The 22,538-nt window shown below is 48.9% G+C and overlaps 1 protein-coding gene, 1 non-coding gene and 1 pseudogene across 6 annotated transcripts in view, besides 9 other annotated features; all 3 read right to left on the bottom strand.

Annotated features, from left to right (window-relative positions):
* Nucleotides 1-13,604, bottom strand: part of PPARGC1B (PPARG coactivator 1 beta) — a 127,650-nt gene extending 114,046 nt beyond the window's left edge. For all 5 annotated transcript variants that reach the window (XM_011537553.3, XM_011537555.3, NM_133263.4 and 2 more), the window contains exon 1: nucleotides 13,494-13,604. In XM_011537553.3, the coding sequence (XP_011535855.1) occupies nucleotides 13,494-13,571 (78 nt within the window). In that variant the 5' untranslated portion in view covers nucleotides 13,572-13,604. The remainder of the gene's footprint in view (nucleotides 1-13,493) is intronic.
* MIR378A (microRNA 378a) lies at nucleotides 11,024-11,089 on the bottom strand. The gene has a single exon (NR_029870.1). It is a non-coding gene; the product is annotated as a microRNA 378a (primary transcript).
* Nucleotides 11,937-12,166: a silencer, noted in NCBI's record as "silent region_16503". NCBI's record gives its function as "represses an Ori minimal core promoter by ATAC-STARR-seq in GM12878 lymphoblastoid cells {active_cell/tissue: GM12878}" and the evidence as "EXISTENCE:reporter gene assay evidence [ECO:0000049][PMID:35858748]".
* Nucleotides 12,197-12,286: a silencer, noted in NCBI's record as "silent region_16502". NCBI's record gives its function as "represses an Ori minimal core promoter by ATAC-STARR-seq in GM12878 lymphoblastoid cells {active_cell/tissue: GM12878}" and the evidence as "EXISTENCE:reporter gene assay evidence [ECO:0000049][PMID:35858748]".
* Nucleotides 12,307-12,356: a silencer, noted in NCBI's record as "silent region_16501". NCBI's record gives its function as "represses an Ori minimal core promoter by ATAC-STARR-seq in GM12878 lymphoblastoid cells {active_cell/tissue: GM12878}" and the evidence as "EXISTENCE:reporter gene assay evidence [ECO:0000049][PMID:35858748]".
* Nucleotides 12,367-12,466: a silencer, noted in NCBI's record as "silent region_16500". NCBI's record gives its function as "represses an Ori minimal core promoter by ATAC-STARR-seq in GM12878 lymphoblastoid cells {active_cell/tissue: GM12878}" and the evidence as "EXISTENCE:reporter gene assay evidence [ECO:0000049][PMID:35858748]".
* Nucleotides 12,937-12,986: an enhancer, noted in NCBI's record as "active region_23386". NCBI's record gives its function as "activates an Ori minimal core promoter by ATAC-STARR-seq in GM12878 lymphoblastoid cells {active_cell/tissue: GM12878}" and the evidence as "EXISTENCE:reporter gene assay evidence [ECO:0000049][PMID:35858748]".
* Nucleotides 12,997-13,116: an enhancer, noted in NCBI's record as "active region_23385". NCBI's record gives its function as "activates an Ori minimal core promoter by ATAC-STARR-seq in GM12878 lymphoblastoid cells {active_cell/tissue: GM12878}" and the evidence as "EXISTENCE:reporter gene assay evidence [ECO:0000049][PMID:35858748]".
* Nucleotides 13,267-13,946: a silencer, noted in NCBI's record as "silent region_16499". NCBI's record gives its function as "represses an Ori minimal core promoter by ATAC-STARR-seq in GM12878 lymphoblastoid cells {active_cell/tissue: GM12878}" and the evidence as "EXISTENCE:reporter gene assay evidence [ECO:0000049][PMID:35858748]".
* Nucleotides 13,267-14,005: a biological region, named in NCBI's record as "H3K27ac hESC enhancer GRCh37_chr5:149109472-149110122".
* Nucleotides 13,355-14,005: an enhancer, noted in NCBI's record as "H3K27ac hESC enhancer chr5:149109472-149110122 (GRCh37/hg19 assembly coordinates)". NCBI's record gives its function as "activates a minimal SCP1, AML or CMV promoter by ChIP-STARR-seq in naive H9 embryonic stem cells {active_cell/tissue: H9 hESC(naive)}" and the evidence as "EXISTENCE:reporter gene assay evidence [ECO:0000049][PMID:30033119]".
* RN7SL868P (RNA, 7SL, cytoplasmic 868, pseudogene) lies at nucleotides 21,542-21,844 on the bottom strand (annotated as a pseudogene).

Raw genomic sequence — 22,538 nt, 5'->3', positions numbered from 1 at the left:
CCCCTCCCCAGTTGAGGCAGAGCCATGCCCTGGAACAGACTGGATTCCTAGCAGTGGTTTATCATTCCACAAAGATCTGTGCACTGGAGGTGTATTCTGATAGTGGGTTCTGGAGGCTCCACAAAGTGTTTGCCTTTGATCCTTCGTGTGCAAGACTTATCTTGGTGACAAGGGCAGGTGACTCCTTGTGGGGACTGGTACAATGCTGCCACACTCACCTCACCCACACATCCTAGCACGTCTCCAGGCACAAAGAAGGACCTCTGGGCCAGGCAAACATCAGGCAAATGTTGTGAAAGATCGAACAGCATTTGTTCATCATTCAGTCATCCAACAACTATTTATTGGGGGCCTACAGTGTGCCAGGGACTGTTAAGTCACTGGGATTTGATGGAAAACCAGCTTGATGAGCTCCAGTCCCAACTGGGTAGAGAAGAGGGAATAGTAAAGAATAAATAGGGCCGGGCACGGTGGCTCACGCCTGGAATCTCAGCACTTTGGGAGGCCAAAGCAGGCAATCACCTGAGGTCACGAGTTCGAGACCAGCCTGGCCAATATGGAGAAATCCCATCTCCACTAAAAATACAAAAATTAGCCAGGCGTGGTGGTGGGCGTCTGTAATCCCAGCTACTCAGGAGGCTGAGGCAGGAGAATCAGTTGAACCCAGGAGGCAGAGGTTGCAGTGAGCCGAGATCACACCACTGCACTCCAGCCTGGGCGACAGAGCGAGAATCTGTCTCAAAAAAAAAAAAAAAAAAGAATAAACACATAAACAAAGGTTATAAAGGGCTGAGGCTACAGTTTACATTTAACCAGGCTCCAGGGAAGGCCAGAGTAAGGAACAGACCTGGCACACAGTGGGCCCTGAATAAATGGATGTTCTCCCCATATAAATCCTCTTCTGCACCCCCATCTTGGCTATGAGGGCACCACTCTGAGCCCCCTGCCCTCTTACCTATATCTAGTGATTTCCACTGAGCCCCACAGCTGAGGCAGGGTATGGGCCCCACCACCCACCCCAGCCACACCAAAGATGCCTCCTGTTACACCATTCCAGTCCTTCTATGTGCTTAGCCAAATTAGCCACCACTGCAATTGTTAGGACCATGTGCTCTGAAGTCAGACAAACCTAGGTTCAAATCCCAGCCTACTTCCTAGCTAGGTGATTTGGGGAAGTCACTGAAATTCTCCAAGTCTGTTTTCTCATTTGCCATACTGCCAACCTCACCGGTAGTTGATTAAACAAGGTAAAGCACCTAATGGCCCTAGCTTAGTACCTGGCACATACCAATAAGTCTCTAAGTGTTGGCTCTTTTATATTATTACTGTTATGAATAATAATAATAAAACTCTTTGCCAACTCCCCACTGCCTGCCAAGTCCAAACTCCTCAGCACAGTCAGAGCTCTCCTCCTTAGCCAGTCTGCCCTTCTGTTTTGTTTTGGGATGGCTGGAGGGCAGAAATAAACTCACCAGAGTGGCAGAGTATTGAGGGAAGGCAGGGAACAGAAAGTGTCTGTAGCAGACTGTGGGGATCGCAGAGCAAAAAGGGCCAGTTCTGAGAGGGGGAACTACAGGAGGCATCACTTGAGCTGAGCCTTGCAGTGTGCAGGTGCAGATGGGAGAGGGGCACAGGGAGGGGACAGACACTTCATGGCGGGGCCCCCATGGTTGCCTGGTATAGGGGAGGAGCTGCAGAACAGCACCAGCACCACAAACTCTGGGTTGGCCTAGGTCTACCCAACTGTAAAATGGGGATAGCAGTGGGACTGCCTCATGGGGTTCCTCTGAGATTAAATGTGATTACACATGTGAAGGATGTGGCACAGGGCCTGATCTCTTGAAGGGGATATAGCAGTTGTTGACTGTTATCACCACCACCACCATCATCATCATCATCACCATCCTTGAAGGACATGGTTGAAGATGACACCTGCCTGGGAACCTTTAACACCAGGGTTCATGTTAAGAATATTATGTGGCTATGCCAGGCGTGGTGGCTCACGCTTGTAATCCCAGCACTTTGGGAGGCCGAGAGGTTTGAATTACCTGAGGTCAGGAGTTCAAGACCAGCCTAGCCAACATGGTGAAACCCCATCTCTACTAAAAATACAAAAAAATTAGCCAGGCATGGTGGCAGACGCCTGTAATCCCAGCTACTCGGGAGGCTGAGGCAGGAGAATCACTTGAACATGGGAGGAGGGGGTTGCAGTGAGCTGAGATCGCGCCACTGCACTCCAGCCTGGGCAACAGGGTAAGACTCTGTCTCACGAAAAAAAAAAAAAAAAGAATATTTTGGGGCTGTGCTCTTGCAGTGGTGGGAACAGTATGGCATTGCCAAACACAGTATTTGACAAATAGATGGATAGTGAGCTACATGGACATTTGAGGCTTCAAATCCCATACCCAGTAGTCTGCTTCTGCAAAGGCAGGGTGGGTCTGCAGGTGTTTTGAGCAGGGGCTGCTGTGGCCTGGGACTGCTAGCAGCATAAAGGCCGGGTTGCCCTCAGTGCCAAGGATCCAGGGCAGGGCCCTCCCCAGTGTTCTGGGTACCACACTTCCTTGCAAAGAGCCTGAGACCAGAAATAAAGGCGCGAGCAGCCACGTTGCCAAGGCTGTTTGCCATGGCAACATCAGGGAGCGACTCGTGGGCCGGCTGCTGCAACTGCTCAGGGCCTGGTTGGTTTCTAACATCTCCTCGCATTCCCTCTGCTAAATGACTATGTTCTGCCAGGCAATCACAGGGAAAAAATACGGCTGCAGAGCTGTCGGGGAGCATCCATCTCTCAGCCAAGCAGGGCTCACCCGGCTGAGTTCCCAGACAGTGGGTCCCAGACAGTTGAGTCCCAGCTACTCAGAGCCAGCCCGGCCAAGCAGACAGCAGCCGAGGGCCCTGTCTTGCCTCTGCTGAGTGACCTGAAGGCATCCTCTGATCTGTTTCTAGTCTGTTTCCTTCCTTCAAGGTAAGGGCATTAAGCAAGATCGTCTCTAAGGCACTCCCAACTCCCAGAAAGCTCAAATTGACATTTGTGTGTTTTATATTTTTACATCATTGTCGTTGTCATCATCCTAGTGACCACCATTTATTGAGCGCTTACTATATGTCAGGTGAAGCTGCAAGCCTTAATTATCTGCAGCTATCTTAAGTTATCCTACAAAGAGCATACTATTATTATCCCCAATTTGGGGGATAATATATGAAGAAACTGAGGTCAGAGAAGTTAAGATACTTGCTCAAGGTCACATAGCTAGTAAGTGGTAGAGCACTGATTTAAACCATAGGCAGTTAAAACTCCAAAGCCTAGAGCTCTTAACCACTATTGGGTATTTCTTCTCTCTTCAAGTGGCATCTCACTAGAAGTGGTTTCCTAAGTCAGTATTGCAACACTTGCTAAGGCTGGATGGGATCCCTCGTCACCTGCCCCACAAGTAGAGAGGAAAAAACACTCTGCAAGAAGAACCTCAGGGCCTCGACTAGATCAAGGACCTGGAGCTCAGAGGGAAGACAAATGGCAGGGTCTGCATTACATGTGTCCCCTTTTCATAATAACAAGGGTTACTACTCATTGAGCATTTCTGAACACTTTACAGACATTGCCTCAACTATTCTTCACTAAAAGCCTTCAAAGCATATGCTACTATCGTCCCCATTTCCTAGATAGAAAAAGAAGGCCAAAAGAAATTCTCTGCCAAGCTCCCAGGGCTTTGCCCAAGCAGAACCCCATCCTAGAATTCACAGCCCTCTCAGTCACTGAAGCAAACAATTAGGGCAAATGTTTGTTTTCTTACCTAAAACACCAAACAGTCATCACAGGCCTTTGGGGACAGTTAATCAATGGCTTTATCCCACCATTTGTGAAAGTCTCTCAGGTCTCGTCTCTGGTCTCCTACTCCAGATCTGGGTAGCAATTCGGTCTCTATCCTGAGGAAAGAGCAGGGTGGGAGCCCAAGGGTCCAGATGCCACCAAGAGCCTGTCAACCCTGTGCCCAGGCCAGCTGGGTGACCTCAGGCCAGGCCCCTCCTCTCTGAGCTCTGTGAACCCAGCTGCTGACCCCTTGGCTCCCTCTCCCTCACTGGGTAGTCCTGAGCATCTCATGAGAGAACTCGTGGTCAGCTGCAAGGAGGACCTTTGGGATTTAGGAATGACAAGAGTAGGAAGAAAATGCAGTCTGTCCAGGGGTGGTGGTAGACCTTGCCCCAGGGTCCCACGGCCATCCAAAGCCCAGCCACTCAGGGCAATGGTGTCTCTCAGAGGACTACCCACCCTGGCCCTCCCCAAGAGCTAAGGCCCACCGCACCTCGCAAGACCTGACACTGGAAATGAACTTGCCAGGGAGTCAGGGGCCTGGGCTTCCTCCAGCCAAGCAGCTGGACCTCAGCTTCCTCTCTTCTGGAAATGGCAAGGTGTACCTGTATCTCCAAGGGCCCCCTGCCCCAAGCCTGGAAGGAGAGGGAGCTGCTCACAGTCAAGGTTCAAATCCCAGGTAAGCCGCTCACTAGCTTCAAGACCCTGAGCAACTGACCTAACCTCCCTGCACCTCAGTTTCATCACCTACAAAATGGGGAAAGCCAGTCTCACAGTTATTGGGAGAAATCCATGCAATAGCACTCAGAAGTCTCTTCACAGATACACAACGAAATAGTCACAGATGAAATGACGTCTTGTACATGGAGATGGAATAAGAGTGACTGCAAGTCTTTAACAGTGGACGCTGGGTGATGGAGGGATGGGGATTCACCATACTGTTCTCTCTACTGTCTACTTCTGTATGAGTTGACATTTTCCATAGTCAAATGTTTAAAATACAAAGTTCTTTCAGAGAACCTGACATTGAAACCTATAAAACGCTCTTCTAGGCAACCACACTGCTAGTCCAGGATAAAAATAATTTCTTGTCCTCCCAGAGCTTTCAATCCAGTTGTAGGAATAAAAGCACACTCAGATACCATGGGATAGTAAGTGGCACAAGCCACGTGGGTGGTGGAAGCAGAAGAAGTTAGCTTCAAAGGCTTTCTAGAGGCTGGACGCGGTGGTTCATGCCTGCAATCCCAGCATTTTGGGAGGCCGAGGCGAGCGGATCACGAGGTCAGGAGTTCAAGACCAGCCTGGCCAATATGGTGAAACCCCATCTCTACTAAAAATATAAAAATTAGCCAGGTGTGGTAGCACATGCCTGTAGTCTCAGCTACTTGGGAGGCTGAGGCAGAAGAATCGCTTGAACCCGGGAGGTTGCAGTGAGCCGAGATTGCACCACTGCACTCCAACCTGGGCGACAGAGTGAGACGCCATCTCAAAAAAAAAAAAATGCTTTCCAGAGAGGGCAGGCTTTCAAGAGGGGGCTTAAAGTTCAGGTAGGCTATGAATACATTAAAATGGCAGGGATGGTGGCGGGGAGAGGACATTCCAGTTCATTCCACCAGACTTGTATTCCATCCCTTCTCAGGAACACTCAGACTGAAGATATAAAACAAGAAGCAGTGTCTGCCCTGAAGAGGCTCATAGTCTAGCATATTCATTCACTCAATGAGGATTGATTAAATGTCTGTTATGTTCCAGGCACGGATCTATTCACTGTGGTGAAAACAAAAGGTGGGTGAAATGAACGAAAATCCTTGCCTTTGTGGAGCTTAACGTCCAGGAGTGATTTCCTAATCATTCAATGAGGACTGATTAAATGTCTGTTATATTCCAGGCACTGATCTATTCATTATGGTGAAAAACAAGGTGGATGAAATAAACGAAAATTCTTGCCTTTGTGGAGCTTAACGTCCAGGAGTGATGTCCTAACACTTAATATGATCTATAGATGAAGAGATATATCTATTATTTGGTGCTTATTCTGTGCCAGGCATGTGTTACATGCTTTAAATCCATGTTGTCATTCGATTTTCACTGACTCTTCACAACAATCTTTTTTTTGAGACAGAGTCTCACTCTGTCACCCAAGCTGGAGTGTAGTAGTGTGATCCTGGCTCACTGCAACCTTCACCTCCCCAGTTCAAGTGATTCTCCTGCCTCAGCCTCCCAAGTAGCTGGGAATACAGGCATGCGCCACCATGCCCGGCTAATTTTTGTATTTTTAGTAGAGACGCGGTTTCATCATGTTGGCCAGGCTGGTCTCGAACTCCTGACCTCAGGTGATCCACCCACCTCAGCCTCCCAAAGCGCTGGGATTACAGGCGTAAGCCACTGTGCCCGGCCTCTTCACAACAATCTTAATCATCATATCTTCTCACTTCAGGAAACAGAAGCTCAGAAAGGTTATGTGACCCGCCAAAGGCCTCGAAGCTGGCAAATCGCAGAACCAAGACTCAAACCCAGTAAGGGGATTCCAAGGTCAGTGCTCTGCTGGCCCTGCGTACTGCCACACAGAAGATGGAACAGCTGGCTTGGAGGTGAGGGAGAGGGCATCGCCAAAACAGTGGCTGGTGAGCAGGGGCTCGCAGGATGAATCATGGAAATGGAGAAGGAAGACACAGAAAAGGGCAGCCTGAGTCTAAGCCTCCAGGAGGAAAATTCAGGGTTTTCCTGGGGAGGTACAGGATCCCAAAGTAAAAGCAGACAGCTCAAGACAAAGTCAAGGGCCTAACTCTCCAACTTAAAAGTACCCGAAGGCCTTCGGAAATCAGGTTTAAGTTTAGGCTTTAATTTTAAAATACCGGAGAGCTAAGCTATCAAGCCATGAAAGTCATGGAGGAACCTTAAATTCCTATCAGCAAGTGAAAAAAAAGCCAATCTGAAAACACTACATACTGCGTGATTCCAACTATATGACATTCTGGAAAAGGCAAAACTGTACAAACGGTAAAAAGATCAGTGGTTGTCAGGAGTTGGGGGACAGAAGAAATGAAAAGGTAGAGCAGATTTCCAGGGCAGTGAGACTATTCTGTGTGATGTTACCATGGTAGATACCTGTCATTACAGATTTGTCCAAACCCACGGAGTGAACCCTAATGTAAACTACAGACTCTGGGGTGGCAATGATGTGTCAATGTAGGTTCATCAATTATAACAAATCTACAACTCTGGTGGGGAATATTAATAATGGGGGAGGCTATGCATGTTGGGGGCAAGGGTATATGGCAAATCTCTGTACCTTCCTTTCAATTTTGCTGTGAACCTGAAATTGTTCTAAAAAAATAAAGTCTTAAAAGAAAAAAAAATGTACTGAGGAGCCATGGGAGATGTGTGAGCAAGAGAGTGATGTCAGATATGCACTCTAAGAGGACTGATCTGCCATCTGGGCTAAGGGCAAATGGAAGAAGACAAAGTCGGGTGCAGCAAAGATCTCTTTGGTAGTAACTGCAGGAATCTAGTTACAAACAGACAAAAACCTAGATCAGAAGGGGAGAAGAACAGAAAGATCAATCCAATCGATTCTGCATCAGCTGAGTGTCAATGGGATGGATATGAGGCACTCCGACTACCTTGTAGGAGGACAGATAGAAACTGACCCTGATCATTTTCTTCCAAATGACTTTATTTGGGTACCCTTCACTCTCTAATAAGAATTATGCTTCTCTTTTTTACGCAAAAAAAAAAAAAGATTGCATGCATGAAAATTAGCTCCATACTTAATCCTGTCCTTCTAAAGTGCTTCAAAGAGAGAATTATTCCAACTTTCATGAGTAGCAGGTTAATGCTCATTTTAGATATACTGTATTATTTCACTCCCAATCGAGAGGGCCTATTATCCCCATTTCAAGGATTGAAAAACAGGCGTAGAGAAGCAGAGGGACTTGTTCTGCATTCTTTCTTTTTTGTTTTTTTGGAGATGGAGTCTCACTCTGTTGCCTAGGCTGGAGTGCAGTGGTGCAATCTCAGCTCACTGCAACCTCCGCCTCCTGGGTTCAAGCAATTCTCCGGGTTCAAGCAATTCTCTGGCCTCAGCCTCCTGAGTAGCTGGGATTACAGGCACACACCACCACGCCCGGCTAATTTTTGTATTTTTAGTAGAGACGGGGTTTCACCACGTTGGTCAGGCTGATCTCGAACTCCTGGCCTCGTGATCTGCCCGCCTTGGCCTCCCAAAGTGCTGGTATTACAGGCGTGAGCCGCCGCACCCGGCCTCTGCATTCTCTCTATACAATCTATGTGCCTTCATTTGCTCAAGGTGCTAGAAAAACACTGATGAACAAAAACTGAGAGTAGCCCCTGTCTTCAAGGAGCTTAGAGTCAAATAGTCTGGGAACACTGCCCACTAATGCTGGCTCTTCTACTTACTCAAAGGTAATTAGTCTTCCACAAGTCAGTGAGTTCTCTGAAACTGTAAGATCTGTACAGCTGTGCAACAGCACCTACATTTTGCACAATATCTATGAGAATGAAATGTAGTAGTGCAAACAGAAGGCTCAGAAAACTGCATGGGGTATAGGGGATACTCAGTAAACGTCACTGATGATGACGATGAAGGAGAAGGCAAGGATCAACACTGCAATATTCTTGTTAGGCATTTCCAAGCCTGAGCCCCCTTTGCAAGACTGCTTCTCACTCGAGCCAGTCTTTCTTCTATTATTCCAGAGGAAGAAGGAAGAGGGTGACTCACGTGGCATAGTGGAACTTCTGCCTGGCCTGCACGAGCTGCTAAGAGGAGGGCCCTAAGGTAAAGAGGAAATATGAGCCCGTGGGGCACAGCTGCTGGGCCATTGCCCTTCCTGGGTTTCACAGGCATCCTGATCATTAGCACCAGCCAGGGAATCCCAATGAAAGTGGAGCCCAGGTCTCTGGTGAACATGACCCCTTCTGGCTCAGGTGAAGAAGTTACTCTCCCTAAGTCTCACACAGATAAAGAATGGGCAAATGCACCCAGTGAAGGCTATGCTTCAATCTTCTCCCACACACTATACATTTGTCCAAATCTACAAACTGATTTGAAAAAGAAGTTGGCCCTGGCTTCAAGGGGTGTGTGGAGCCATTTTCCCAGTTCTCCATGTGGCAGGGGGCCCTTCTGGGTGCTCAGTCCCAGCTTTAGAACAACGAGGAGACAAGATACCAATTGCAAAATGGGCCAAGTTCAGAAACACAGAACCACAAGTCACCCATGATCATATGGGGAAGAAGTTTAGCATCACAAGTAATCAAATAAATGCACATTAAAACAATAAGGGTAACAGAATTTATTGACGAACAGACTGGTAAAAATGAAAAACAATGAAAATATCAACAGTTATCTGGGTATAGGAAACCAGGTGTTCCCAGACCATGCCAGTGCACAAATAAGTACAATCTTTCTAGAAGAGAATCCAGGAATGAGTTTGATGGAGTAATTTCACTTCTAGGAACTTAAAGGAAGAAACAAAGACATACATAAAAAGATATTCGTTTTAGCATTGCTTACAATAGCAAAATAAAAAAATTAAACAACGTAAATGAGTAACGATAAAGGATTAATTAAATACATCTCGGTTCAATCTTCAACAAAACATTATATAATCATTAAGATACTAAGTAGAATATTTACTGATGTGGAAAGATGTTCACAGCATATTGTTTGGAAGAGGAAAAAAAAAAACAAGTTACAGAACAGTGCAATTCCAAGTTACAAATCAGTATATTCAGGATAACTCCTTTTTTTTTTTTTTTTTTTTTTTTGAGAATGAGTTTCGCTCTTTTGTCCAGGCTAGAGTGAAGTGGCGCGATCTCGGCTCACTGCAACCTCCGCCTCCCGGGTTCAAGCGATTCTCCTGCCTCAGCCTCCCAAGTAGCTGGGATTACAGGTGTGTGTCACCACGCCCAGCTAATTTTTGTATTTTTAGTAGAGACAGGATTTCACCATGTTGGCCAGGCTGGTCCGGAACTCCTGACCTCAGGTGATTCACCCGCCTCGGCCTCCCAAAGTGCTAGGATTACAGGGGTGAGCCACCGTGCCCGGCGACTCCATTTTTTAAAAATAAGATGTGATCTATATGAACAGGAAATAAACAGTCTGGAATATACATGACAATTAAGTGGTTATCTTTGGGTCATGTTACATATTTCTCATTTTTTTCTTTATGCTTGGCAGTATTTTCTAACAATTCTATAATTAAATATTTTTAAATAAGTTGTTAGAACTGATGATTTCTAACATTCCCGCTGCCAACTCTGACATTTTGTGCATCTATGACTGATGCCCTAAGCAACTTCAAATAGCCCATATTTAGTGTGGACTTGCTGTGTGGCCTTTGGGGTCTAAAATTTTGCCCACAGCTGCAGCCCTCTGCATTCCTCTCTCCCACACTCGCTGCCCAGCTGTCTCCCCTGCTAGCCTGGGAGCTTCTGCTTGGCAGGACCCAGCTGCACCCCTGTCTGTAATCCATGTGCCTAGCCAAGAGCTAAGCAAAGGAACACAGCTCAGCATACTGACAGGTGCCTTGCAGGCACAATGATAAAAGGTACAACCCTAGTGCTAGAATCTTACTGGACACCAGACTCACACAAAGTGCTTGGTTGTATCACACAGATGCAGAAAACCAAAGGAGAGAAAGCAGGGCAAGCTGGGCTGGGAGAGCCTAGTAGAGGAGAAGGCCATGCAGGACGGGTGAGTGAGGGTACTCTGGGCCAGGGGCATAGCCTGAACAAAGGTGAAGCCACCCACAGTCCTTTGGGATCCATGCCTCAAAGCTTTCCAAGAAACTTTCGCAATCCTTGTTCTGCTAAATTTCCGTACTTTGGCCCCAATGGGTAAAAGTTAAGTCTCCTAAACAGAAGTCCTCCCTCTAATCTAACCCTGGATTAGCCACCAAAGACAACAACAATCTTTTGGGACAAAGACAATGAATTACCATTTAATCCACTTTCCCCAAAGCTCCCAAAGGGAGATGAAGGAGGGGAGGGTCAGGGAAAGTTTGGGGGAGGAGAGGGGGTTGCAGGAACAACCAGAACATCTCACATGCAAACACTGCTCACCCCCACCACCAGGCCATTGGATTCTCTTGCGGCACCACCAGCCCCATTTGACAGATGGAGGAAATGAGGCTCGGAGAGTTCAAATGGCTTGCTCCGGGGTCACCCAGCCAGAGAGTGGGGAAGGTGACTCCACTCAGGCCTTCTGACTCCAAGTCCAGTGCTATTTCTAGGTAACACACAGGACCTGGAGTCAGGAGCCCTGGGTGGCTCTGTCACCCTCTGGCTGCATGGTCCCATACAAGCCGCTCACTCCTCGCAGCCTCTTTCTCCAGCTGTAAAATAAGGAGGAGCACACTGGGCCCGCCCAGGTCCTCTTCCGGCTGGGCTCTCCGAGCCTTCTAGGGGCGGCTCAAAGCTCATCCTATCAATTACATTTCCCAAGTTGGGCCGGCAAAGATCACCAGAAGATCCTCGGCCTGTCATGTGGTTAAATAAAAAAAGCAAATGTCCCAGATTAACTTTCACTGCACTGCTCCTGCAAACACCTGAGTATTCAATTTTCTAGTTTCCTTAGTTGAAATATTTCTGCTAGCTAGGCTCGCTGGGCGGCTAAAGGGCAAAATAATTAATTATTGCTGAGCCAAACACTGAAGATCGAGTTAAAATCCGGGGTACAGTCCAAAGCGGACAGTTCTTGACATGGGTCCCTGAACGAGTCTCCGGCTATTTCAGGCCTCTCTCATCCGCTTTTCAGCCAAGAGATTCGGAGACGCCCCAGGGCAATTTCGAGATCTGGGGACAGAATCTTCCCAGGAGTGACTCTGCCCCTCCTCCCGCACTCAGTGCCCGCTAGCCCCAAGCTGTCGGCTCTGGGGGTACTGAGGCTGGGACCTGCCTTCGGCGCAGACACCGGCGCGGGGCGTGTGACGGAGCCCGGCGACGACGGCGGGAGCTCCACCGCAGTTTCGTCAGAGGTAAAGGTACGCGCCCGGCGCGCGCGGCGTGTGCACACACACACACACACACACACACACACACACCCGCGCGCGCAACCCGCTCATCACACATTCCCCTCGATCTCGAGAAGCGCAATCACACGCCACTAGCCCCTCCGGCCTCTGCCGCGAACCCACCCGAGCGCGCCCGCCACCGACCACGCGGCCCCGCGGCTCCCCTACGCAGCGGCGTCTGCAGCGGGCCAGGGGCGGCCTGCCTCCCGCGTGGCGGGCTTCCTCTCGGCGACACCCTGCCACGCCACGCCGTCCCAGCCGCCAGCCCGAAGTCGCTGCCCGGAGCTGAACGTCTCGGCTGCGGCGTCCCTTCCAAGTCGCGTTTCACCGCAAGGAGTCAGCTTGCAAGCCTCTCCCCGCCCACCCGGTCCCATGACAGCTGCTGCCGCCCAAAGACAGGCAGATTATAACAAGAAGCAAAGTTTCCCTCTCTCTCCTCCCACCTCCCTCCCCCAATCTCCGCCTTCCCCCTCCCTTCCACTGTTATGCAAAACGGGCCGGCACCGGCGCTCCCACTCCAGGTACCAAACCAGCCCCCGCGAGCCGCGCCCGGTTCCGCCCGGCCGCCCCTCTCCGTGCCCAGGCGTGTGCCAGCACCCGGGGCTCCTCCGAGGTTCCGCCGCATCCTCAGCTTCCCAATGACCCGCAGCCGGGCGCCCAGAGAAAAAGCCCTAACTCTGGAGCCAAACTTTATGCTTGCAACAGGCATTGGGTGGGGAAAATGGGGGAAGGGGTGGGGGCCGCGCACGCCTCGTGCTGACATTTTTGGTGGCTGCTTGTCCCAGCAGCACCCCTCTCCCAGTCTCCAAGCCACCAGCTTCCTCGCTCCCCCGCGCCCCGGCACACCAGAGCACCCTCTCCTGTCACGCGCGTGTCGCCAGTGGGGCTCCCGGGCTCAGCCAGTGCCTGGGACTCCGCCTCGCCTTCCCTTCCCCCTGCATCGTGGAGCGCGCACCGGGGCCGCGCACCGCAGGGGGACCCAGGCGCCCCCAGACAGTCCTTCCGCCCCCATCCAGCCTGGCTTTTCCCCCCAGGGGGCTCCGCCCGATAGCGAAACCAGGAAGACGCTGTCTCCGCCCGCATGTCCACGTGCCCCGCAGACCCTTATGCCTTTAGCCGGCAACTGGCAGGAAACTCCGCGCTGCGGGCGCGGGTAGAAAGCCGCGGGGGGCCAGCAACAGCACTCTGGGGACTACAGCCTGGAGGACTAGGGGACTCCGGAGACCCGGGCATGCACCCGTGCCGGGGCCACAAGTCCACGTGAAAGTACGGCAGCAAGTGCCGGGCGCTGACGGCGCGCCTCCAGCACCCAGCGCCAGCCTGAGGGTACCCCACACCGTGGCGCGCCTCCACCTCCCAAAGGAAGCGCGGTACCCCCCAGTTTTGCCCGCGGGGTGGCAGACTCCAAGCGGCCAAGGCTAGACCCTCCCCAGCGGCCGTAGCGCCCCCAGCGCTCCGGCACGCGCCGGGAGACCTCCGGCTCCCTGCCCCGGTAACGGAGCGCATCGCAGGGCGCCTGGAAGGGGGGCTCTGCAGCCTGGAACCCCCAGTTACCCCAGGGCTCCCACCGCTGCCTCCCGGCCTCCGCGGCTGCAGCTGCGGCCCCCGCAGCTCAGCACCCCTGGCCCCGGGCCCGCAGCCCCAGCCGGCCGTACCTGCGTGTCAGCGAGATAGTTGAGGAAGAAGGAGGAGAGCTCTTCGTCCAGCAGCGCGCCGCAGTCGTTCCCCGCCATCTTCCAGCCGCGGCTGCAGCGTGCGGCGGAGTCAACGCCGAGCCGGCCCGGGGGGAGGGAGCCAGCGAGCGAGCAAGGGAGGAGGGAGGAGGGAGTGAGGCCGGCGGGAGGCGGAGGGCGGAGCTCGAGCCCCCGGCTGCCGCAGGGCCGCTAGCTGCGGGGGCGGGGCCGCGCGGCGCCCGCGGGAGCCGGGGGTCGCTCACCCACTTTCCTGCGCCGTGTCTGGCGCCGCGACCAGCTCACGCAGCCCTCAGCAAGGGGTAAAGCGCAGGCAGCCAGGTGGCGGTGCCCCAGCCAGCAGCCCGATGCCTGCGCAGCAATGCGGGCAGCCCCCGGCTCCTGCCAGAGCGAATCACGTTGCGTTAGCGCTGGGCGGGTCCTGCGAGACAACCTGCTTCTTCTGCACAGCTGGGGAAACTGAGGCTCGAGAAGGAATAGGACCTCGTTCGAAGGCCGGGCGCAGTGGCTCACGCCTGTAATCCCAGCACTTTGGGAGGCCGAGGCGGGTGGATCACCTGAGGTCAGGAGTTTGAGACCAGCCTGGCCAACATGGTGAAACCCCGTCTCTACTGAAAATACAAAAAAAATTAGCCAGGCATGGTGGCGGGCGCCTGTAAGTCACTCTTCATATCCCTCCTGAAAAAAAAAAAAAAAAAAAAATATATATATATATATATATATATGTATGTATGTGTATATATATGTATGTATGTATGTATGTGTATATATGTATGTATGTATGTGTATATATATGTATGTATATATATGTATGTGTATATATATGTATGTATATATATATGTATGTATGTATGTATGTATGTATGTATGTATGTATATACCTAGGACCTCGTTCAAAGCTACAGCGCACATCAGTTGCAGGAAGGGAAAGCTTAGGTCTTACTCCCCTGGAGGACTGTTTCTCTACCCAGGCTACAAGGCCAGAGAAGGAGGGAGAAATACCATAGATCAAAAGCAAAGAAATCAAGGAAGTCTCCTTGGAGGAGGAGGCATTTTTATCTTTTACTTGAAGGGTGCGTTTGCCTATATTCTGTGCTAAACCTGATCATATATCTCTCTCTGCCATCGTCCCCAGCACCCTTCCCCCAAAAAACTCCAATGAGTTCTCTTACCAATGCCCACAATGCATGAAGGGGCTGGGCTCCTGCCAGCCTCCGCAGGCCCGCTCACAACGGGCTTGCCACTCACCTAGTAATCTCTTCGGGGCATCTTTCCCTATTACCCCTTGGACTGTCAAGCCATTTCCTCTCCTTCCACCTCCACCATCATGGGCTCCCTTAGCTCCACCAGCAGGCCTTTTTTCTCTAAAAGCTGGTCACAGTTGCCGTTTTACATTTGTTGCAATGAAGACTTAATCTTTGTATCTCTCCTTACAAGACTCTAACACCATGAAAGCAGGGCCTAAATCTGCTTTTGCACTTGCTGTATCTGCCGTTTCTGGCACATAGTAGGCACTTAATAGATGATGTGTTAACTGAAAAAGCTGGAGAATTTTGATTCTCTGCCACCACCACCACCACACATTATACAGATAAGGAAACTGACTGTCAATGTGTACATGGAGTGACTGCCTGAGCCAGAACCAGAACTCAGACCTCCTGACTCCAACCTTGAACTCTCATCATCATGCCCTGTTGTTTACCAAACAGGAGATGAGGGCACTGCCTGGATGAAGGCAAGAAGGCGGGAAGCTTTAGGTCTGTTTTATTGGGCACGCCTGCCTCCTGCCCTCCTCCCACCCTACACTCATAAGGGCTGCCCCACCCTGCCCACCTAACAAGGGCTCCCTTCCAGCGGGAGAAGGAAATAGAGGGAGAGTCCCCAGCACACCTGCTGAGACTTGAACACCAGGGCAAAAGCTTCCTTCTCCAGTCTGAGGTTCCCAGAACCGCAGGCCGTGATTTCACTCTTTGGGCTTAAGGCCAGTGTGCTTTTAAGGAACAATGCATTCCAACAGAGAGCCTGCATCTAGCCTCAGAGCCCTAGACTAGGAGTTAGGAGTCCTGGGTTCTGTTTCAGACCCTGCATCTGGATACTGGAACATCTTGTTCCAGTATCCAGCAATTCAGGGGGTGAAGAGCGTGGGCCCTGGAGTCACACTGCCTGATTTGGAACCACAGCAAGTCATTTAGTCTCGGGCCTCGGTTTCCTCATCTACACAAATGGGGACCAAAAAACCACCAACTTCATAGGGATGTTTTGATGATTGAGGAGATAATATATGTACAGTGCTTGGCACAGTGCCTGACCTCATGGAGAATACGCTAAGCGCTCTGTTCTGTTTCCCTTCTGTTAAAATGGGAATAAGAAATATATATCCCTTAAAGGCACTAGCCAATGTTACTTGCCTTTTTTCCAGCACTTACAGGCTGCTGGCGTACTTTGGACTCCAGTATATTCAGATTTGAATCCTGGTGCAAACTAGCTATGTGCCCTTGGTCATTTACTTAACCTCTCTGAGCCTCAGTTTCCTCATCTGTAAAGTGGGGATAGCAATGGTACTGCTCCACATAGGGATCTTGTGAGGATGGATTGAATGAAATAATGCAATTCATGTAAAGTCAGTTGCCTGGCCCTGAATCTTGCAGGTAGGAAATGCCCATCATCACTATAATCATCACCAACATCACCAATGTCATCACCATTAGCACTAAGGACTTGAATTCTCCCAAGACCCCATTTTTTTTGCTACTCCCCTGGGCACCAGAGTCAGAGTCCTGTGGGATGGTTTCTGGAGATGTCCCTTCCAGGCCCAGCCTGGCCCCTGACTGGTGGTGTGTCCTTCATAGCCCAGAGGCCAAACTTGGGAGTGTCCCCAAAGCCAGCCATCTCTAGCCTTGGTCCTTGCAGAGCTGCAGTGCCATTCACTGCCTTGCCAGGGAAGGCCTGACAGCACTTTCCCAGAGGCTTTTTTGTTTTTAAAACTCCCGTGTTGATAGAAAAGCCACACATTGCCCAACGTCAGGGACTTTCTCACCAGTCACTACATCCTCACAACAGTCTTCTGGCTGGCAAGAAATTTAGGTGAGAAAGGGCCTCACCTGAGATATCTAGCGTCCTTTTGAAAAGCATATTGTCCCAGAAATTCCTTCATCACAGGTTGCTCACAGAGTCTCAGCCTCATGGAGGAATTTGAAGTTCCTCTGGCCCATGGAAAAATGTGAAGTTCTTAATTGAGATTAAAAGTCCTGGCCTGGGTGTGGTGGCTCATGCCTGTAATCCCAACAATGGAAGGCTGAGGCCAGAGGATCACTTGAGTCTAGGAGTTTGAGAACAGCCTGGGCAACATAGGGAGATCCCATCTTTACAAAAAATACAAAAAAAAAAAAAAAATTAGCCAGGGTTTATGGTGTACACTCGCGGTCCCACCTACACTGGAGGCTAAGATGGGAGCATCACTTGAGCCCAGGAGGTTGAGGCTGTAGTGACCTGTGATCATCACTGCCCTCAAAAAAGCCTGAGACCCCATCTCAAAAAAAAAAAGCCCTCAAAAAACCTGAGGTGCTAGATGATCTTGTGCCATTTGCTTCTCCTCTCTGAGGCTGTTTTCTTATCTATAAAATGAAGGAGCGGCCTGGCCTGGTGGCTCACGCCTGTAATCCCAGCAGTTTGGGAGGTCGAGGCAGGCAGATCACCTGAGGTCAGGAGTTCGAGACCAGCCTGGCCAACATGGTGAAACCCCATCTCTACTAAAAATACAAAAATTAGCCGGGTGTGGTGGCGGGTGCCTGTAATCTCAGCTCCTCGGGAGGCTGAGGCAGGAGAATCGCTTGAACCTGGGAGGCGGAGGTTGCAGTGAGCCTGGGGGTAAGAGCAAGACTTCGTCTCAAAAACAAAAAACAAAAAAACGAAGGAGTGGTCAGTTGGGCGCACTCCAGCCTGGGGACAAGAGCGAGACTTCCTCTCAAAAAAAAAAAGAAGGAGCAGTCCGGGCGCAGTGGCTCACGCCTATAATCCCAGCACTTTGGGAGGCTGAGGCAGGCTGATTATGAGGTCAGGAGATCTAGACCATCCTGGCTAACAGGGTGAAACCTCATCTCACTAAAAATACAAAAAATTAGCAGGGCGTGGTGGCCCCCGCCTGTAGTCCCAGCTACTAGGGAGGCTGAGTCAGGAGAATTGCTTGAACCCAGGAGGCGGAGGCTGCAGTGAGCTGAGATTGTGCCATCGCACTCCAGCCTGGGCGACAGAGCAAGACTCCGTCTCAAAAAAAAAAAAAAAGAAGAAGGAGCTAGCCTAGATGAACCTCTACAGAGTCCTGCAGCCCGGATGTTATGGCAGTTTATAGACATCAACCAAACCTTAGGGCTTTTCTGTACTGAGCATGTGCCCAACGCCTGAGTTTATAGCATCTCTAATCCTTCCAGCAACCCTCCGTAGGGTAAATCATGATGTCCATTTTATGACTAAAGAAACAAAAGTTTAAAGGGGGTTAAAGTGATTGGCCCCAGACTACATAGAGACAACAGCTCAGATTTGAACCTGGGTGTGTACATGGTCTGAGCCACAGACACTGGAAAGGGAGTGTGAAAAGTCTCATAGCATCTAACCTCCCCAGGAAAGCTAGAAGGGCAGCGCGTGTCCTGTTTGATAACTTCCAAGTGAAGGGCAATAATAATGCCAAGCTTGGACATTGTGTGGCTTGACTCCTATCTTCTCTGCCTTTTTTATCAGCCTCGCCTCCCTCAAGATTAGTGAAAGTGAGCCCTGTGCATACCTAGTGCAAAGCCCAGAGCTCCCCAGGCTCCATGGAAATGGCTACAGCAAAATGAACCTATTTGACTTGAATATTTTAGTCACTACCGACAAATGCTCAAAAGTTGAAACATCAGCATTTTCTCCTTTCCAATAATAAGATGATGCTTTATTCAGACACTACATACAGCTGTGGTTCTCAGACTCTGGAGGGCATGACAGTCACTTGGACACTAACGCCAGAGATTCCAATTCAGTAGGTCTGGGGTGGGCCCAGGAATCTGTGCTTAATAGGCTCCCCTACTGTAGGAGATGAGACATCATTCAGCAGATATGTAGTGAGCAGCTACTATGTGCCAGCCACTGCGCTAGATGCCATGGATAAATTGGTGAACACAACAGCCGCCATCTCTGCCCACATTCTACTCAACGCAACTGCTTAGTAAATTTGTGTTGAATGAGGGAGGGAGGTAGGACGTGGGTCTTGGCAAACGCAGAGGCTTCCTGCCAGCCACCCACGATTCTGTGATTCTGTGACCCAGGCCAGGGAGCCAGATGCTCATCTATTTCCCAGCTTCTGTCCAGGAGGCAGGGACTCAGGCCAAGAGGAACTAAAAATCTCCCTGCTTTGTATTGTTGATGCTGAGAACCATCTCCACCTCCCATTGAATGATAGAACTTTAGAACTGTGGAGGGGCAGTGGAAACGTGTTTTCCACCAGCTTCACTGTAAATGTGGAGGAATGTGGCTGAGGTCACACAGCCCTTTAGTGGCAGAGCCAGAACTGGAAGCCAGGGCTTCAGATGGTATGTGGAGTGCTCAGGTGACTTCCATAGGATGAACTTCTCCTCAGGGCTGACCCTTTAGAACAACATCAGCTAGATGGTATCATTTGAGGGTCTCAGAGTCAAGGATTGGGGCCCTTGACACTTGAAAGCCCATGAAGTAAGTAAGGCTCTTCTTGTGTTTAGCAATGCTGTCTCCTTCCTGTAGGGTTAACCTATGAACTCACCAACGCATTTGGGGGAAATAGCTAGCAGATCACTTTCTGTTTCATAAGCTACAAGTGATTAAAGGGCTTTCAAATCAGCAGGTAAGGGGCACTGGCAGCTATAATGTCAGCTATTACTGTTTCCCAGTTTTGCAAGAGCCCCATAAATCCTCCTCCTTCATCCTCCTCAGCCCCATAAATGACTGCACAGAGCATGGGAGCAACAAAATTAGATAGGGATAGAAAAGTGTGCTTTTTCCTTATCTACTCACAGAGCAAAAGATCCTAGAAGGACCCTCCTTATGCCCATTTAATAGATGGATAAACAAAGGCCCCGAGATGAGAGTTCTTTCTTTTCTAGAGAGATACAAATTCTATCAGGTTATTATTTAAATATATATACATATTATATATATATACACATTAGAATGAAGTATATTTGTGTTAAAACAGCAAGATTTAAAGAGACAGTCACCCGACATTAAAAGGCAACATAGTTTATATTTAGTTATTTCTAAACTAAATTTAGGACACCTATGAAATAGGACAAGCAGGTGGAAAGAATACCTGAGTACCTGTTGCTCTTTATACTTTGTCTCTTACTGGCTTTGGGATCTTGGGAAAACCACTTCTTGCTAAGGGTCATCCTATCTCTCACACCTGACCTAGAGTTTTTTAAATTATATATTTTTATTTAGAGACAAGGTCTCGTTCTGTCACAGACTGGAGTGCGGTAGTGTGATCATAGTTCACTGCAGCTCCAAGCTCCTGGGCTTAAGTGATCCTCCCTGCTTAGCCTCCCAAGTAGTAAGAACGATAGGCACGCCACCATGTCCAGCTAACTTATTTATATTTTTGTAGAGACAGGGTCTCACTCTGTTGCCCATGCTGGTCTCAACTGACCTAAAGTTTTGTGTGGATCAAATTCAGTTTACACAGGACTATGAACTTTATGTTCATTATCCTAAGTCATCAATAATGCTCCTTTGGCGAATTTATCCTGAGTCATCCAAAAGATAGGAAAATGACAGCATGATGTTTATTCGGACTTTGATTCAACAGATATTTTTAGATTCTGTTGGGTACCAGGTACCATGCTACAGGTCCACAAATGGTGACTATGATGCAATCTTTGCTGTCATGTAACTCACAGCTCTGATCTCTACAATGTTCATGGGAGCACTGCATGTCACCATGTCACCATGCAACTTGGTAGGGTGTAATAAGTCCTTCAGTGGAGAAAGTTGGGGGGCTGGAGACTGGGGGGGTTGAGGGACAAGTTAGGAGTTGGAAAAGGAGTCTAGGGGAGGGGGGTTCCCGAGCCAAGATAACAGAAGTAGCAGGAAGGAAATGGAGGAAGGATGGGTTAAAGCCATATTTTAGAGTGGGAATCCATAGGCTTTGGCAATAGGTTAGAAGTGGTGAGGGAATAAAAGGAAAGGGTCAGGACACACAGTTTCTGACTGTGTGGATGGTGATCTTAAAAGAAAGGTAGCTCAGAGGAAAGTCTCCCAAGGGAAGCTTTTCAGATGACTTAGGAACATCCAAAGGGAGGCACCCCAGGGGAGCACATTGATGCCAAGCAAAAACTTGGAAATAACTTCAACATCCAGCAAGGCAGAGCAGTTCAATTCCACACCTAGTGACAGATAGACAGAAACTCACATACATGCACAGAGAACTGTGCCCAAGGATGTTCACCTTAGTACTGTTAATTATGATAAAAATGTAGGGTACTGGATAAATGAACTGTGGTGAGATCTCACAATGGATTATTAGGCGACAGTGAAAATGAATAACATCTCCATGATTCCACACAGATACCTCTCAAAAAGAGTAAGACAAGCAACCTAAGGATACAGACAATATGATGCCATTTATGCAATATTTTAAAACATGTAACACAATACTCCATAATATTGGTCTATGCATGTATATGAAGTAAAAGCATAAACATGGGACAACAAAGACACAGATCAATGTTAAGAAAGTGAGAGGAGATGCGGAATTAGAGCTGGCTGCCTGGATGTAGCACAGCTGTCACCTGTGCAGTAGCACTAAGACCTGTACTTAGAAGGGCTCTGTGCTTGGTTTAATGCTCTGCTGTTGCTGTCTTGAAACTCATCATGATTTTTGAATAAGGGTCCCTGCATTTCCATTTTGCACTGGGCCCTGAAAATTATATAGTCCATCCTGGGAGGGACTTGAGTACATCATGCAGAGGAAAGCTCCAACTGTACCTGTAAATGTATCTTTATTTTTTTTAAGAGACAGGGTCTCGCTATGTTGCCCAGGATGGAAAGCCATAGCTATTCACAGATGCCATCCCTCAACTAATCAGCACGGGAATTTTGACTTGCTCCATTTCCAGACTGGGCTGGTTCACCGCACATTAGGCAACCTAGTGGTCCCCTGCTCCCAGGAGGTCATCATATTTATCCCAAACTTAGTGCAGATACCTAATCAGCATAGCACACCACAGCCTAAAATTCCTGGGCTCAAGCGATCCTCCTGCCTCAGCCTCCCAAGTGAGTAGCTGGAACTATAGGCACACACCACTATGCCAAGCTTAGAAATATTTTTTAAATATCAATATTTGTTAAATATGTGTGGTATATTGTTCCTTGCGATTTTCTGTATGATTAAAATATTTCATGATACAAAAACTATGAAGGTGTCATGGTTTACTTACTTGATGAAATACTGTGCAGAAGGTAGAAAGCTATATAAATGTATAACATTGTCTTCTGAATTCAGCTCCTTAAAAATAGAAAAAATAAACATTGAGTGAAAAAAGATGATAAAATGTATATAAAAAGGTTACAGCTGTACGCATAAATGTACACATAAAGTGTGTATGTTAGAATGACATTAAGTAATGTGAACAAATGAAACATGATTAGGGTGGCAGAAAGAATTTCTTTTATTAATAATATTTTCATTTGTGCTGTTACAATTTTGTCTTTATAATAAATAAAATATAACTTATTAGCTTCTTTCTAAATAAAAACCAACCCCTCTGATAGCTATGTTGCAAATGTGTTATTTAAGTAACAGATATACATTGGAACAGGGACATTTTGGAGACCCAAGCAAGGGGTAACTATGATGGTAGAACTTCAGGACCCCCCACCAAAATGAGCTCTGAACTGGGAGTCAGGGTGGAGTCCCACTCTGGCTGGCACCGAACCCACAGTTGGATGAATCTTCTCTCCACTCTGAGGCTCACAATCCCACTCTGCACAATGATGGACTTGAATTGG

The sequence above is a fragment of the Homo sapiens genome, chromosome 5 (assembly GCF_000001405.40).
Source record: "Homo sapiens chromosome 5, GRCh38.p14 Primary Assembly".
In the NCBI taxonomy this organism is placed as follows: domain Eukaryota; kingdom Metazoa; phylum Chordata; class Mammalia; order Primates; family Hominidae; genus Homo; species Homo sapiens.
Note: the sequence above shows the minus strand (reverse complement) of the source record. Positions and strands in the feature narration are given on the sequence as shown.